This window comes from Homo sapiens, chromosome 5 (genome assembly GCF_000001405.40).
Source record: "Homo sapiens chromosome 5, GRCh38.p14 Primary Assembly".
In the NCBI taxonomy this organism is placed as follows: domain Eukaryota; kingdom Metazoa; phylum Chordata; class Mammalia; order Primates; family Hominidae; genus Homo; species Homo sapiens.
The window spans coordinates 36,209,648-36,225,325 of NC_000005.10; the positions used below are offsets into that span (position 1 = coordinate 36,209,648).

At 36.1% G+C, this 15,678-nt stretch overlaps 1 protein-coding gene and 1 long non-coding RNA gene across 9 annotated transcripts in view; one reads left to right on the forward strand and one right to left on the reverse strand.

The window, feature by feature from the left end:
• The window catches only part of NADK2 (NAD kinase 2, mitochondrial), a 49,691-nt gene that overhangs the window by 17,059 nt on the left and 16,954 nt on the right, over positions 1-15,678 (reverse strand). For all 8 annotated transcript variants that reach the window (NM_153013.5, NM_001287341.2, XM_047416706.1 and 5 more), the window contains exons 5-7: positions 9,949-10,032; positions 8,101-8,237; positions 2,197-2,275 (exon numbers count right to left, since the gene is read on the reverse strand). In NM_153013.5, coding sequence (NP_694558.1) covers positions 2,197-2,275; positions 8,101-8,237; positions 9,949-10,032 — 300 coding nt within the window. The remainder of the gene's footprint in view (positions 1-2,196; positions 2,276-8,100; positions 8,238-9,948; positions 10,033-15,678) is intronic.
• NADK2-AS1 (NADK2 antisense RNA 1) lies at positions 11,408-12,254 on the forward strand. Its single transcript, NR_170324.1, has 2 exons — positions 11,408-11,762; positions 11,891-12,254. It is a non-coding gene; the product is annotated as an NADK2 antisense RNA 1 (long non-coding RNA).

Below are 15,678 nucleotides of genomic sequence, written 5' to 3' on the forward strand. Positions count from 1 at the left end.
GTCCATATTGCTTCAAACTTTATATGTAGCAAAAGAGAAAACTTTATATATAGCATAAGTCTTGCTGTGTTAAAGTATATTTTTATACTTTACTATACTTTTAACTCTTTTTTAAATTATGTATTACTCTCCAAAAAATTAAGATACCACTATCTTTGTTATTCATCTTTACATCCCTAGTGACTCACATATTACACATAGCACATGCATGAGGTATTTTTGTTAAATATTACATAAACAAACTAATTACAAATCAAAGAAACTGTTCAAACCCTTCCGCTGAATCAAACTTCAACTCTTTTTCGGCACAACCCGAGTTGAGTCATTGGCTACAATGTGAATATCTTTTTTAGTTAAGACAAATTTTTCTCACTATAATTAAAGTTCTTATGAAAGGATATGACTTCCAGCAAACAAAATTTCAGAATTTATGGAACTCTTAGTAAACTAGGGATCCAACAACATAATCTTCAAAGGGCCACTCACATGGTTCTAGTAGCAGGAAAGTAGCAAATAAAACTCATCTCTAATCTTCTACCCTTAATTTACTTACATCTACAAGGATGAGAAGCCAGGTTCTAAAGTACTACCAAGAGTTAACTTTATATCACAGTAGTCATTTTACAGCTCGTCACTGTGTTCCACAAAAATGTTTTCCAAAAAAATTATGTTGATAATGTAAGCCTAAGTTATATTCAAGTCCCACAAAACAGCTTCTGCCGGTAATGAAACACACACATTTTTACACTCCTAATGAGGAACTACATTAACCTTAATTTTTGCAATAATGGTTATAATCTTGAACTGTCAATGCACTTGCCTTATGATGTGTTACACTAAAAAGGATACAACATCACCTATGGAGCATTTGTGTCAAAAATGCCTAGTCCGAATCTAACATGAAAAAAAATCATACAAATTTAAAATAAGGGATATTCTGCAATCCAACTGGCTTAGACCATTCAAAAATATTAATATCATGAATGACAAAACAGGATGGAGCTAAGGAAGTGTTCTTAAATTTAAAAGGCCATGATGGCCAAATGCAATGTGTGATCCTTAATTGGATCCTGGTTAAAAACAAGTAAACAAATTATAAAAACAAGCAAGCAAACAAATCAGCTTTAAGAAGCACTAATAGGAAATCTTAATATGAACTGCCTATAAAAGTTTTCTATCAACTGCAAATTTATACTTACTATATTACTCTCTTAAATATTTATAAGCTGGGAACAGTGACATGCACATCTAGTCCCTGCTACTCAGGAAGCTGAGGCAGGAGCATAGTTTGAATCCAGATTTAAAGGCCAACCTGGGCAACATTTAGACATGGTAAGATGCCATCTCTAAAGAATAAAAATAAAACATTAATAAAGCACCTGGCCAAGCGCAGTGACTCACACCTGTAATCCCAGCACTTTGGGAGGCCGAGGCAGGCAGATCACCTGAGGTCAGGAGTTTGAGACCAGCCTGGCCGACATGGTGTATCAGGGGAACCAGCCCCCAATATTTAAGAAATTATAAGAGTATTGATTGGGGAAGTGATAAATGTCCATGAAATCTTCACAATTTATGTTCAGAGATTGCAGTAAAGACAGGTATAAGAAATTATAAAAGTATTAATTTTGGGAACTGATAAATGTCCATTGAATCTTCACAATTTATGTTCTTCTGCCGTGGCTTCAGCCGGTCTCTCAGTTCAGGGTCCCTGACTTCCCGCAACAATGGTGAAACCCCATCTCTACTACAAATAAAAAATTAGGTAGGTGTGGTGGCATGCACCTGTAGTCCCAGCTACTCGGGAGGCTGAGGCAGGCTAATTGCTTGAACCTGGGAGGCAGAGGTTGAAGTGAGCCAAGATCACGCCACTGCAATCCAGCCTGGGCGACAGAGTGAGACTCAGTCTCAAAAAAAAAAAATAATAAAGCATCTATATAAACAGATTAAAGGCTCTGGGACACAGTACAATAACTTTATTTAATCTAGGGTTTCACAAACTTTTTTGTCATAGAATATTCTTTCCCCTTAATACATATTAACATCTATGAAGGTTTTGGAAATATTTCATTAAATAATGAACTGCCATTACTTGCAAAATATTATTCACAAATCTTAGCCAGGTTGTAGAAACTGAATAAATATCCAAAAGCACTAAAACATTAAATTCCATGCTCAAGATCACAGGTTTAAAAGTACCTGGATGACAGACTCTCCCCAATGAAGACTTCATTTAGTGCTCTCACTGGCAGAAGTTGGGGTCCTGAAGCCTCAGACCCTGCATGTAATTTAAGACAAAGAAAATCCAAGATAGCTCCTTGATTTCTAGAAATGTTATAAAAATTTTATAAAACACTACAACTTTTATATTTTTGTTTTTAAAAGAATCACATACTTTAATACAGTTAACATTTAAATTATCTTTTACTTAAAGCATCCACAATATAAACCTTAAAGGAACCTAAACTTACACCTGTAATGAAGGCCCTCTCTCTGCAAAATAAACCTTAATTCTTCTTGAAGCAATTTCTCAAGAGTGATGAACTATATTTATCCATCTCAAAAGATTCTTGTTGTTACACTTAATTTTATCTTGGAAGCTTCAGAGATATAACTTACCAATTAAAAAGAGAACTATTTTGGATTTAAGCAGCAAATGACATGCATGGCTTGGATGATGGAAACCAAATCAGGTATGTTAAGAAATCAGACTTTTTTTTCCAAATAAGGAAACCTCAAGAGTGTTTTTAGCAACAGCAGCATTGGTGGAATATTTCCACATCCCCCTTCATAACTCCTAAAAAAATGTTTTCTTTTTTTGAATCTATAGGGTTGTGTGCACAGTTAAAGTAATCTTCCTTCATAATTACTTAAACATTACACCATCATATAAAATCCTCCAAAGGATTCCCAGTGCTTTCTTGTTCAAATTTGTGACTGTCCCCTTCAAATGGTTCCCTTTACTTCTTTTATTAGTTTCCAACTGGAAATGGCAACTCTGTATCCTCAATGTCACAACTATCAGATTTATTGGACTCAAGTATCTCCCACTAGGCAAGCATCTTGTGACAAGTTTGCTGTCAGACAAGTTCACTTTTCTGTCTCCTCCACAATTCCTACTAAGTTAATGTTTAAAAATCCATCCCAATTGTGGTAGGCAGGCTCCAAGCTGGTCCCCAGTGATTCCTGCCTCCCTGGTATTCACAATTTTGTGAATACATATACTCACACTCTCTTTCCCACATCATACTAGGGTTGCTCTATGTGACCAACAGAATATGGCAGCAGTGATGACATATCACTTCTGAGATCAGGTTAGAAAAGACACTATTGCTTCCACCTTGGCCACTCTCTTTCTCTCAGATCACCTGCTCTAGAGGAAGAGATAACATGAACAACCCTTTGGAGAGACCAACATGGTGAGGAACTGAAGCCTTCTGCCAAAAGCCATGTGATGAGCTAAAAAAGTGTGTTCTCCAGTTCCAGTCGTCTTTATATACTGCTGTCCTGGCCAACAGCTTGATTGTCACCTCCTGCCTAAACCAGAAGTAACTAGCTAAGCTACTCTTAGAATCTTGACCTTTATAATCTGTGTGAGGTCATAAATATTTACATTTAAGATGCTAAACTGAGTGATTTGTTATACAACAATAGTTACCTAATACACTATAGTTACCAAATACACTAATAAAACCACCACTGTCACCAAGACAACATTGATCTATTCTTCTCCTTTGACTTTGTAGCCTAATTATTATATTCTTCTGTTTATTATGTTTATTAAATGGAACATTATATTTTTCTCATTTCTTTTGGACTATAACTGCCTAAAGGCAACCCAATTATTCTTTCAAATATAACAAGTTGATATTACAATACCAAGTACCCTTGGAGCACTTGTTGTTTACCTAAATTATCAGCTCAACTTCATAATACAGAGAAAGACCTTGATACAAAAAGCTATATATGCATGCATATATATATATATGGATTTGATATGTTTAATCAAATTTGATTGCACATAAGAATAAAACTGGCTTTAAACTGTCTTAGGTACTACATATATTCACATTCTCATTCTTGACAGTTTTACAAACATAAATGGCTAAAATTTATTGTTTAAATTACTTTTCCTTAATTACTAATGAAATTTGTTTTAGATTACTATCCCCACAGATTTCCTACAAATGCTCAACAATAGGTACTCATGAAATATTACCAGTAAATTTGAGCTCTCACCATCAAACTGTAACCATGTTTCCCTTTTATGCGGTCTTGACTTTCCACCTCTATTCCCATTTTCCCTCATCCTAATTTATCTCTCCATATTACATTTTTATTACATGTGCTTGTTCAATTTCAATTCAAAACTTTTGTCAAATGAGTTTGACAATAAATAAAATTGTTTCAAATCTCATTAATCATCTTAATTCTGCTTATTTTTTCATACTAATTGACTACTAAACCTTATCTAATCACAGAACTGTGTTCATTTAAAACTTGCCACAATGGGACATGAAAAGATAAGACTCCATACCAATTACTTTTTTTTTTGAGATGGAGTTTAGCTCTTGTTGCCCAGGCTGGAGTGCGATGGCACAATCTCGGCTCACTGCAACCTCCACCTCCCAGGTTCAAGAGATTCTCTGCCTCAGCCTCCTGAGGAGCTGGGATTACAGGCATGCGCCACCACGCCTGGCTAATTTTGTATTTTTAGTAGAGACGAGGTTTTACCATGTTGGTCAGGCTGGTCTCAAACTCCTGACCTCAGGTGATCTGCCCACCTCGGCCTCTCAAAGTGCTGGAATTACAGGCGTGAACCACCGTGCCCAGCCACTGATTACTTTTTTATCCAAGAGAATAGATTACAAAATTATAATTTGTATTTTTAAACACAGAAGTGTAATACTAGTGACACAAACTACTACACTGTGTAATTCTCTCACACTGTCATATTGCTAAACTTTATTTCCAGGTCTACTTGCACTAGGTGGAGCCATGTGACTAGTAATGGCCAACAGAATGTGGACAAAAGTAATGAAAAGGCCTAGTTCCTAAAACTTCCCATAAGATCTTCTATGTTCTCTGTTTTCTCCCCACAAGATGCAGAGGATCCAACAGAAGACTCAGAGGCCTTAAAATACGGTAGCAGCCACTATTTGGCAGCAGCCTTGGTTGCCTGAAAACTCCTTGGACAGTGAGATGAGTTAAAAATAAGCTTTTGCATTCAGTCACTGAATTCTGGGGTTGTTTATTAAACCAATTCATCTCTCTATATTAATAAAACCAGTCTTTATTTATATAGCATTTACATTGTGTTAGGTATTATACATCATCCAGAGATTATTAAAGTATAGGGAAGGATGTGCATAGGTTATATGCCAATACTATGCCATTTTATATGAGGGATGTGAACATCCTCGAATTTTGGTATCTGCAGAGGGTCCTAGACCCAATCCCCCTCAGACACCAAGGGATAAGTGTATATGAAATAATCTGCTCCAGTCATCTCCTCCTCCTCTCTGGAAGCTTGCAGTAGCTGTTTGTATTCTGACAAACCTTGGTGTAGAACATTTTACCATTAATTATGTGAAACACTTTGTGGGTCCTTTCAATTCAAAGACTCTTGCCTAAGTTTCCTAATTGAAATTTTTAAAAAGTATTAACTGATTCATACTAACTGTGTATATTTATGGAGAACAGGTAATATTTTGATACATGCATACAATGTATAATGATCAAATCAGGGTATTTAGGATATCCATCACCTCAAATATTTGTCATTTGTGTTGGGAATATTTCAAATCTTCTCTTCCAGCTATTTTGAAATGAGGTATTTTGAAATATACAATAAATTGTTAATTATAATCACCCTACTATGCTATTGAACGTTAGAACTTATTCCTTCCATCTAAGTGCATATTTGTACCCATTAACCAACCTCTGTTTATCCCACCTTTCACCCTTCCCAGGCTTTGGTAACTATCACTGTACTCTCTATCTTCATGAGATCAACTTTTTCAGCTCTCACATATGAATGAAAGCATATGATATTTGTCTTTCTATGCTTGACTTATTTCGCTTCACATAGTGACCTCCAGTTCCATTCATGTTGCTGCAAATCTCAGGATTTCATTCTTTTTATGGGTGAAGAGTACTCCATTGTGTATATATACACATTTTCCATATTCATTTATCTACTGATGGACACTTTGACTCCATACTTGGCTATTGTGAATAGGGCGGCATCAAACATGAGGCGCCAGTATCTCTTTGCTATACTGATTTCCTTTCCTTTGGATAAATAGCCAGTAGTGGGATTGCTAGATTGTATGGGAGTTCTATTTTAGATTTTTGAGAAACCTTCATGCTGTTTTCCATAATGGCTTTACTTATTTACATTACCACCAACAGTGTACAAGAGTTCCCTTTTCTCTACATCCTTGCCAGTATTTGTTATTTTTGTCTTTTTGATAACGGCCATTCTAACTGGGGAGAGATGATATCTCATTGTGGTTTTGATTTGCATTTCCCTGATGATTAGTGACGTTGAGCATTTTTTCATATAGCTGTTGGTCATCTGTATGTCTTTTGAGAAACTTCTATTCAGAGACTTTCCCACTTTTTAATGAGATTATTTGTTTGTTTGTTGTCTGAATTTCTTGTATATTGTGGATATTAGTCCCTTGTTAGATGAATAGTTTGCAAGTATTTTCTCCAATTCTATAGGCTGTCTCTTCACTCTTGTTTCCTTTGTTATACAGAAGCTTTTGTTTAATATAGTTCCATTTGTCTATTTTGTTTTTGTTGCCTGTGCTTTTGAAGTCTTAGCCATAAAATCTTTGCCTAGACCAACGTGCTGAATAATTTCCCCTGCCTGTTTTGAGAAATCATCATGTATAATCTTTTGATTTTGAACATTTTTCTGTTCTTTTTCTCGAACTACCATTAATCAGATGTGAACATCCTAGATGCTGAGCTATGATTCACTAAGTTTGTATGTTTCTATATATGAAATATTAACTTCATTTATAAACTAAACACAGTGAATCTGAGGAATCTGAGCAGTGACTCTTTATATACCAATCTATATCTTTTTATAAGACTGCTGGTGAAGACAGTCAAATCTACCATCTATTAGTGGTAGAAGTAACTTCTTTCAGTGAGGGATTAAAATTTCTAACTATTATTTTTAAATTGTACTTAATAGTTATTGCAGACTTTCAAAAACAGTAATAGAAGTTCATGTGCATATAATTTCTTAAGATTTTTTTAAATAGAATTCTTTTTTTGGAGGAGAACCTTTAAAACACAACATAAACACATATCTTAGAAACATGCTAACCTATTAAGCTATAAGTCACCATGAAAAACTCTGGAATAAGGGGATATAAACATCAGGTACCATGAGAGAGCAGAGGCAGAAAGCAAAAATGTAAAAGTAGCTTTTCCTGATAAATTTATCCAGAAAATAAAACATAGGAGAAAACTGTATCTTTTTAAACAGTCTACAAATATTTAAGATTTCTCTTGGGATATTCTTGCATCAATAAAGTCCTACATTTGCTATAAAAAGTGGGAAAATATGGCTCAAAATGGAGAATTTGCTTTAACCCTCCTAACAAAAAAAGCTGCCAAATCACCTTATGCTAATATTCTCTAAGCTACACAAATACTTCAAGCACAAATCCTAAGGCTGGAATGCAAAATTTCCCAATAAATATATTTAAGTATAACTATATAACATGTATAACCATCATAATCTTCCACAGATTAGCTCATTTCATCTCTACTGCTTTTTTTTTTGACATTTCAAAGATTAAGGCCAAGAATCTTTTCTCAAACATCAACTATCTTATCAGATACTTTACAATCCTTCCCTAATCAGCTAGTTTTCAAATCTGTCCTAGAAAACATTTCTAGAAATATGCTATTATTTACTTCAGATTCTAATAAACTTTACAACTGAAGTAATTCACTGTACTTTGTTAAGTGCTATTAATGACACTAAAAACAAGTAAATTATTACATCAAAAAATTTGAGGTCAAAGGAGCTATGAGTTAAATATTTCCCCAAACACATCTGATGCCCAATCCACCTACTTTCATCATGAGCTCTTTCAATGTTAAGGGCTCTATTGTGCTGATTCAAGCTTAGCTGCTGCTCGTGAAGGTCCACAGGTACAGGGTTTATGCCAGTCCCTTCAAGGTATAACCTGATTCTCTGCCTCCACAACCACCTTAGAAAAATGAAGAAAAGGCAAATTATGTTAAAATAGAATAAATTAAAGAGTAGACATTATAATAATTTAACCAAATTAAATAGTTAATAAAAACTAGTTACCAGTTATTCCATGAATAAATTATATCAGAAACACCTAAAGCCTATAGCTTCCTTATCAATGACAGATTTGAATATTTATTCTCTTTTCAATTATAACGGAAACACCTAATGTGCTTGTACAAAATCTCCCAAGTAACTTAAATTAAGTCAAACTCTATCAAGAACCCATAAAGTCCAAGATACTGAGCTAGATATAGCTTGTGCTTTGCTCAGCAAAAAATATTATACAAAAAGGAAAGCATTCTTAAATTAAAATAATATTGTGTTCAGATGGCTGGATTAGATAAAAATCCCTCTCCACAAATTTTATAATGGAGGTTTTTTAAAACAATAAAAGGAAAAAAGGATTAAGAAACAATAAATAAAAGTGTTGATTACACCTAAAAATTTAAATAACATCTCTGGTAAAAGGAAAAAAACAATCAGGTTTAATTGATTTCAAAACTGATAATCAATGTATCGAAAGTCAATGGGACAGATTCTGCTAGGTAAGTATACAAAAATATACTTCCACTTGGTAGCTATAAATTAGCCATTTCTTGTCAAACTTCTGAAATGACTAGAAACTAGAATTACTGGTAATGAAATGATTCTTGAAAAGAAGATCTAATACAACTTCACAAACATCTGTGGGAAAAGCTTTCCCCAACTATAAAATCTAGTCCAAGTCAGGAAATAAAAAGTAGTCCAACTTAGCTCTCTCAAATATAATTGGCCAACCTCATGCTCCTTCCTCCACCTTCCTCTTTTCCTGATGGTCTGACCACTGAACACATTAAGTAAAAGAAACTTTTAAAAATCCCATCCCCACTGCTTAAGAAATACTTTTATGTGAGACAGATACCAGGAATCTCAGCATGGTTGGATTAAATCCAGCTCTCAATCATTACTAGATGGGAGATAAAGATAAAAAATATAAAATCTGAAAATTCAAACAATTTTAGCCAAAGTTTTAATTACCTTTCCACTAAACTGATAAGGACATGTAACGAGGTTAAGAAAGTAGAGACATGCCTGCTATCTCACTGAAGGAGAAAAAAAATTTCTATATGCAGTTATATTATAGGCCAACCAATATTTGTCAGGGTTTCTCTCCACAATTCCAACTGGACTAGGAGAAGGTAAATTAGACCTATTTGTGACTCAGCTAATACATTACTTTTAATGGCTACTGTTATATCTATGGAGTAATCCAAACATTATCTGATTTGTTCTGGTTTTTTGTGTGTTTGTTTGTTTTGAGACACAGTCTCACTCTGTTACCCAGGCTGGAGTGCAGTGGCATGATCTCGGCTCACTGGAACCTCTACCTCCTGGGCTCAAGTGATCCTCTCAACTCAGCCCCGCAAGTAGCTGGGACTACAGGTGCTTGCCACCATGCCCAGCTAACTTCTGTATTTTTTGTAGAAACAAGGTTTCACCATGTTGCCCAGGCTGGTCTCAAACTCCTGAGCTCAAGTGATCCACCCGCATCGGCCTCCCAAAGTACTGGGATTACAGGCGTGAGATACCGTGCCCTGCCTGATTTGTTCTGTTTTTTAACAGCATTATTAATGGCACATACTTATTAAGATACTTACATAAGAACAACCGTAAGAAATTCCTACCTGAACTCACCACGATAGAACTTCTGTAAGGCTTCTGGAAAGGAATGTGTATATCGAACGGGCAGGCATAAATGACCCTCAGACCTATATTTTAACAGGAATTTTTTGGTGATATAAAGAGGAAAAGAAAAAAGGTGAAGCAAAAAAATTTAATCAAAAGGTATCACTAAGCTATAAAAATAAGAAATGAAATTCTAAAAATGTCTACCCTATATTCCATTTTTTGCCACAAAATTGTGTTCTTTAAATAAAAACAAAAAAGACCAGATAGAATTAGTAGTCTACATCCAGCTTTAATGCCATAATACATAATAATATGTGAGTTTCTACGTTACAATGAAACTAAAAATAGCAGCAAATCTGCTACTAATTACCCTGTAAAGTTATTTAATGGTACAGTGTTGTTCAAATCATTATTTAACTACTAACCTTCCAATTTTTATTCTAACCTTTAAATTATTTAACTATTAACTTTGGGCAAGTCACTTTAGCATCAGCTTCCTCATCTCCAAAATCAGGATAAACCAGCAATCTCAAAAGGAATCAAAATATTTATGTGAAATGTTTTGAACCATAATCCTTTCTGAAATGTCATTTAAGATATCCTAAGTCACTAAAAAAGAACTGAGAAAGCTTAATCCAATGTAATCCTTCATTTATTCAAAAATACATAAATAATGAAACTCCTTTAAGGAGTTCATAGCTTGATGTGGAAGACAAATTAAAACAAACCATTGCAAATTATAAGGTGGTAAGATTGCCTATTGGTTGGTGTAGATGAGAGTATGTGGCACCTAAAGATGTCCAGAAGGCTCAGTCATCATCATTTAATGATACTCCAATCTTGAAGAAAAGGCTGAGGGTAGGCTTAGCAAAACAAACTCCTGATAATAAATGTAAATCAACTTGTAAGCGTGAAGGGCACAGAAAAGTGTTTTTACAAAGTTGTGAATAGTCAACTTCTTTATCTAAGCAGGTCAACACTGAGGTTAAGAAAGCGTAAGGCCTAGGTTTTTAAATTTTTATATTCATTGTAATAGTTCACACAATGTTAAGTATATAAAAGGTATCAACAGTCATTTGATAGAATAATACCTGCTGAGGTCAACTGCAAGTCTAAAACCCTTGCAGAGAGAAGACTTTCTCATGAGGTTACAGTCAGATATCAGCTAGGGCGGCAGGCATCTGAAGGCTTGACTTGGACTAGCACGACCACTTCCAGGGTTGCTCACTCACATGGCTGGCAAATTGGTGCTGGCCATTGGCAGGAGGCCTCAATCACCCTCTACGTGAGCCTCTCCACAGAGCTGCTTGTGAGTATCCTCACATCATGGTGGCTGTCCTACCCCACAATGAACAATCCTAAAGACCAATACAGATGCTGCAATACCATTTATGACCTGGCCTTGGAACCTACACATTCTCACATCATATTCTACTGGTCACACAGGCCATCCTTGATTGAATATTGGGGGGCAGGGAGGAGTACATTAAAGGGTACCTAAATACTAGGAAGCTACCTTGGAGGCTGACTACCACATGCCCTCTATCCCATTTTGAATATTAAGCTTTCAAATGTTGTAATTATTTACCAGGCTCGGTAGAGTGGCTATAGAATACAGAAGAGATGGATAGAAATTACACATTTGATTTAGATGAGTCCATGTGAGTGGGCCATCTTGAAAGTGGATCCTCCAGCCCAAGTCAAGCCTTCAGATGCCTACAGACCAAGCTGACATCTACTTATCCTCAGGAGAGATCTCAAGCCAAAACCACCCAGCCAAACTGCTCCTGAACTCCGACATGCACAACCCGTAAGAAATAATACACTGTTACTGTCATAAGCCTCTAAGTTTTGGGGTGATTAGTTATGCAGCATTTGACAACTAATAAATAGGAGAAAAAACTTAAGTTGAACATTAACTTCTGGGCTTTTTTTAAGGACTGAGACACCACTATATTTAAGATAAAGAAATCAGACAACTTGAAGCATACACAAAACCAGAAGGCAATTTAACATATCTGCCTGGAGGCAAGAAGAGAAACCAAAGAACTTCTAACACCTGTTCTTCTAGCTAGAAAATAGAGAAGAGATGACAATATTAACAATTGCTTGCCAGCTTCAAATTCCCACAAATTTATGAATATGAAGCCAGTTTCCAAAAGAAAATATAGTTCAATAAACTGTGTAACATATGATCACTAAAGTGATCTTTTACCTTAATGATATAAAAATAAGCCATTAAGAAGTTCTAAAACCCAAATGCATCAACACTGATGGCAATTAAAAATTAATTACTGAACCAATGATCTCTATTATTTACATTCAGGGAATATTTACTCAGCTAGACTGGGGTTCTATCCCTATTCCCTAAAATCACTGAATCAATCATTCATTTTTCAATTCATTTATTGCCTACCAGCTATGTATAAAACTATGCTAGTGACAGAGAAATTAAAATACAAGGTCCTATACTCAAGGAATTTATAGTCTAATGAAAGAGAAAAAGAAACAGAAAATAAATATATAGGGATAAGTGCTTTCTGTAGAGGGAATTACAACCCAGGAGAAACACCAGTCTTGAACAAACAAGAAACACAGAAGTGAGTAAGTGGTATAAGGGAACTTTTGACAAAAGCACATACAAAGGCATGGGTGGGTGGGTTAGGGGGACATAGGCCTTCTGGAGAACTCTTTCACCTACTCTCAAATCACGCCTTGGGTCATCATATCAACAAAGCTCCCCACCAGAGTAAAAGCATCCCTGTGTGAGCCTCTAACCAGCATGTTGGTGGACACTCATATAGTTACATTTTGCAGTTAAGAACAGCCTTTTAGAAAGGATCCCAGGCTGATCCTAGAAAAGTTTCCAAAAATATATTTTTTAAGCTAAAGAATGTGTCATGCCTGTGGACATATGAGGACAGGTGAAACTAGAAAAGCAAACAGGCAAGAGACAGTGAAAGATAATATGTATTATGCTAAGGAATTTACAATGTATCCTGAAGGTCATGGGAAACTCTAAAAGATTTAATAAGAAGTGGATATAATCAATTAGATCTGCACTTTAGAAAGAAGACTAAGGCAATGTGTAAAGGATGAGTTAGAAGGAGAGAGACTGTAAGCTAGTTCAGTAATTTAAACAAACTATAAAGGGCTGAGCTATTTTTAGTGGCAGCGAGGATGGCAAGAGATGGACTCAAAAGTAAGTTCCCTAGAACTTAGGACCAATTTGATGATAGAGTGAGGGAGAGGTAGTTACAGCTTCAGCACAGATGATTTCATTCATCAAGAATGATGGGAGAGAGGAAAGGAGAGTTTATTGGTACATGTTACAATTTTAATACCACTGGATATATCCAAAGTAGAGGCCAGTGTGGCTAGAATAGAATGAAGGGAAAAATAATAGGCAATAAGGACAGAACTGGTAAAGGGCCAGATAATGTACAGCCTGTATGTCACATTTAAGGTGACCAACTGTTCCCTGCTTTGCCTGGGACTGACATTCTCCTGGGACACAGGACTTTCAGTGCTAAAACCAGGAAAGTTCCAAGAAAACCAGGAGAAGTTTGTCACCCTATTCATAGTAAAAAGGTAGATTTTACCCTAAGTTAGATGGGGAGCCACGACAAAAAAAAAATCTAGGCAGAGAAGTTACATAATATTATCAAACTTCCATAAAATAATCACGCTGGCTGCAGTGGGGAGAAGAACTAAGAAACTATAAGGGTAAGAATGGAAGCAAGAAGATCAGTGTTGGAATAAAGATTCTGGAGTCCCAGGGGACTCCAATAATACCACAGTATTAATCAGCCTCCCTAGAGACAATATAGGAATTGAAGAAGAAAAAAGATGGCCCAGAGCACAATATGTAAAAACACCAGTATTTAGCCAGTAACCAAATAGTAAGATCCTTCAAAAGAAATACAGACAAAGAAGTAGTCACAGAGATAGGAAGAAAAAGGTATCATAAATGCCAACAAAGTACAGTTGAAATAAGGGAGCAGTTAGCACCAAAACTTCCCAGAAATCAGGTAAGACAAGGACTAAAATATCCAGTAGATTCGGTAAGTAGGATATCACTGATCTCTAAGGCAAAAGCAACGTCAATGAACTGGTTGGGGGCAAATCCATAAAAAAACTGCAAAGTTTTAGAAAATAACTGAGAACTGAAGGAGTGGCGATACCAAGCTTGGGGATAAGTGGAAGGAAAAGAGATAATAACCAAGAGAGTGACACAGGGTAAAGGATTTTTAAAATTTTCTTGAAAAACAGGAGTCTTGAACAAGTCTTTTTAGGCTAAAAGGAGTCAAGTGTGAAGGGAGAGAAAAAAAAGACAAGACAGGACAAGATTTTTTTAAGCAAGAGAAAAGGTGAAGTAGTTCTAATCCAGTGACTTTCAATTCCTCTGTGAAAACAAGGTGGGTTTATTGAAGAAAGAAGGATAAGGGAAGCAAAGTGAATGCAAAAGTTGAACTACTGAAGCAGCCACCACAGAGAATGGGGAAGAGAGATGAGTAGGGCTACATAGGAAGTTTGTGTGCAACTCTAAGTCCACCGCCAAGTGCTGAAGACTACAAACTGGAAGTGCCACCAAACCCAATGATCTTTTTTTCCCCAGATGACCATAGCAGTACTGATGCAGAAGTAGAAAGGATGATGGTCAGATTGATCTAGAATTGTGCAGAAAGATAATGATGAAGAAACATTTGCATTTTGGGAGGCCAAGGTGGGTGGATCACTTGAGATCAGGAGTTTGAGACCAGCCTGGCCAACATGGTGAGACCCCATCTCTACTAAAAGTACAAAAATTAGCCAGGTGTGGTGGTGCATGCCTATAGTCCCAGCCACTCAGGAGGCTGAGGCAGAAGAATTGCTTGAACCCAGGAGGCAGAGGTTGCAGTGTGCTGAGAGTGCGCCACTGCACTCCAGCCTGGGCAACAGAGCAAGACTCTGTCTCAAAAAAAAAAAAAAAGAAAGAAAGAAAGCAAGAAAGAAATATTTAAGAAAGTGAATGAAGTGAGGAAGAAATAAGTGGAGAAAATGGAGGTGATCAAAATACTGAAAGTCAAAGGGCAGATTTAGTGGGATAAAGTAATAAGGCTGCTGTTAAGGTAGAAGGCTACAGTCAGAGTGGAATTAATTAGGATTGTAGAGATAGGGAATTCCAGATCACCATAAAGTCCAGGTACAGTCATGGCTGTGGGTGGCTAGAACAGAATGAGGGTAAATATCACGAAGCTAAGGAAGGAAACAAAAAGTGCCAATAGTGTTTTTATTGGTCTTTTTATTAAGATAGGTCTTTTTATTAAGTCAGTAAAGTCACTGTCCCCCAAAAAAATCAGTGGTAGCATAATGAGGAATATAAATACAAGCCATAAGGAAGGGTAGAAAATGGATCATTATTAACTTGTCCCTCCTCAGCAATACCAAAGGTCCCCAACACTCACCTGGGTCAAGAACTCAGGTCTATTATGCCACAGATCCTACTCCCAAACTACCTGGGAAGCTAAAATGTGAGAACTGGTCCATCCTATAACATAATTTCCTACCACCAATGCCAGCTAGATGTATATATATTTTTCATGCCTGAGCTTAAAACTAGAGCTATATCCTTGAAAACAACTACATAAAAGACAATCCTACTCAGTTCTACATACCTAAATTTGATTACTAGAATGCTTCTGGAACATGGTTCTAATGTTCATGGTGGCCAGGAACAATGATGC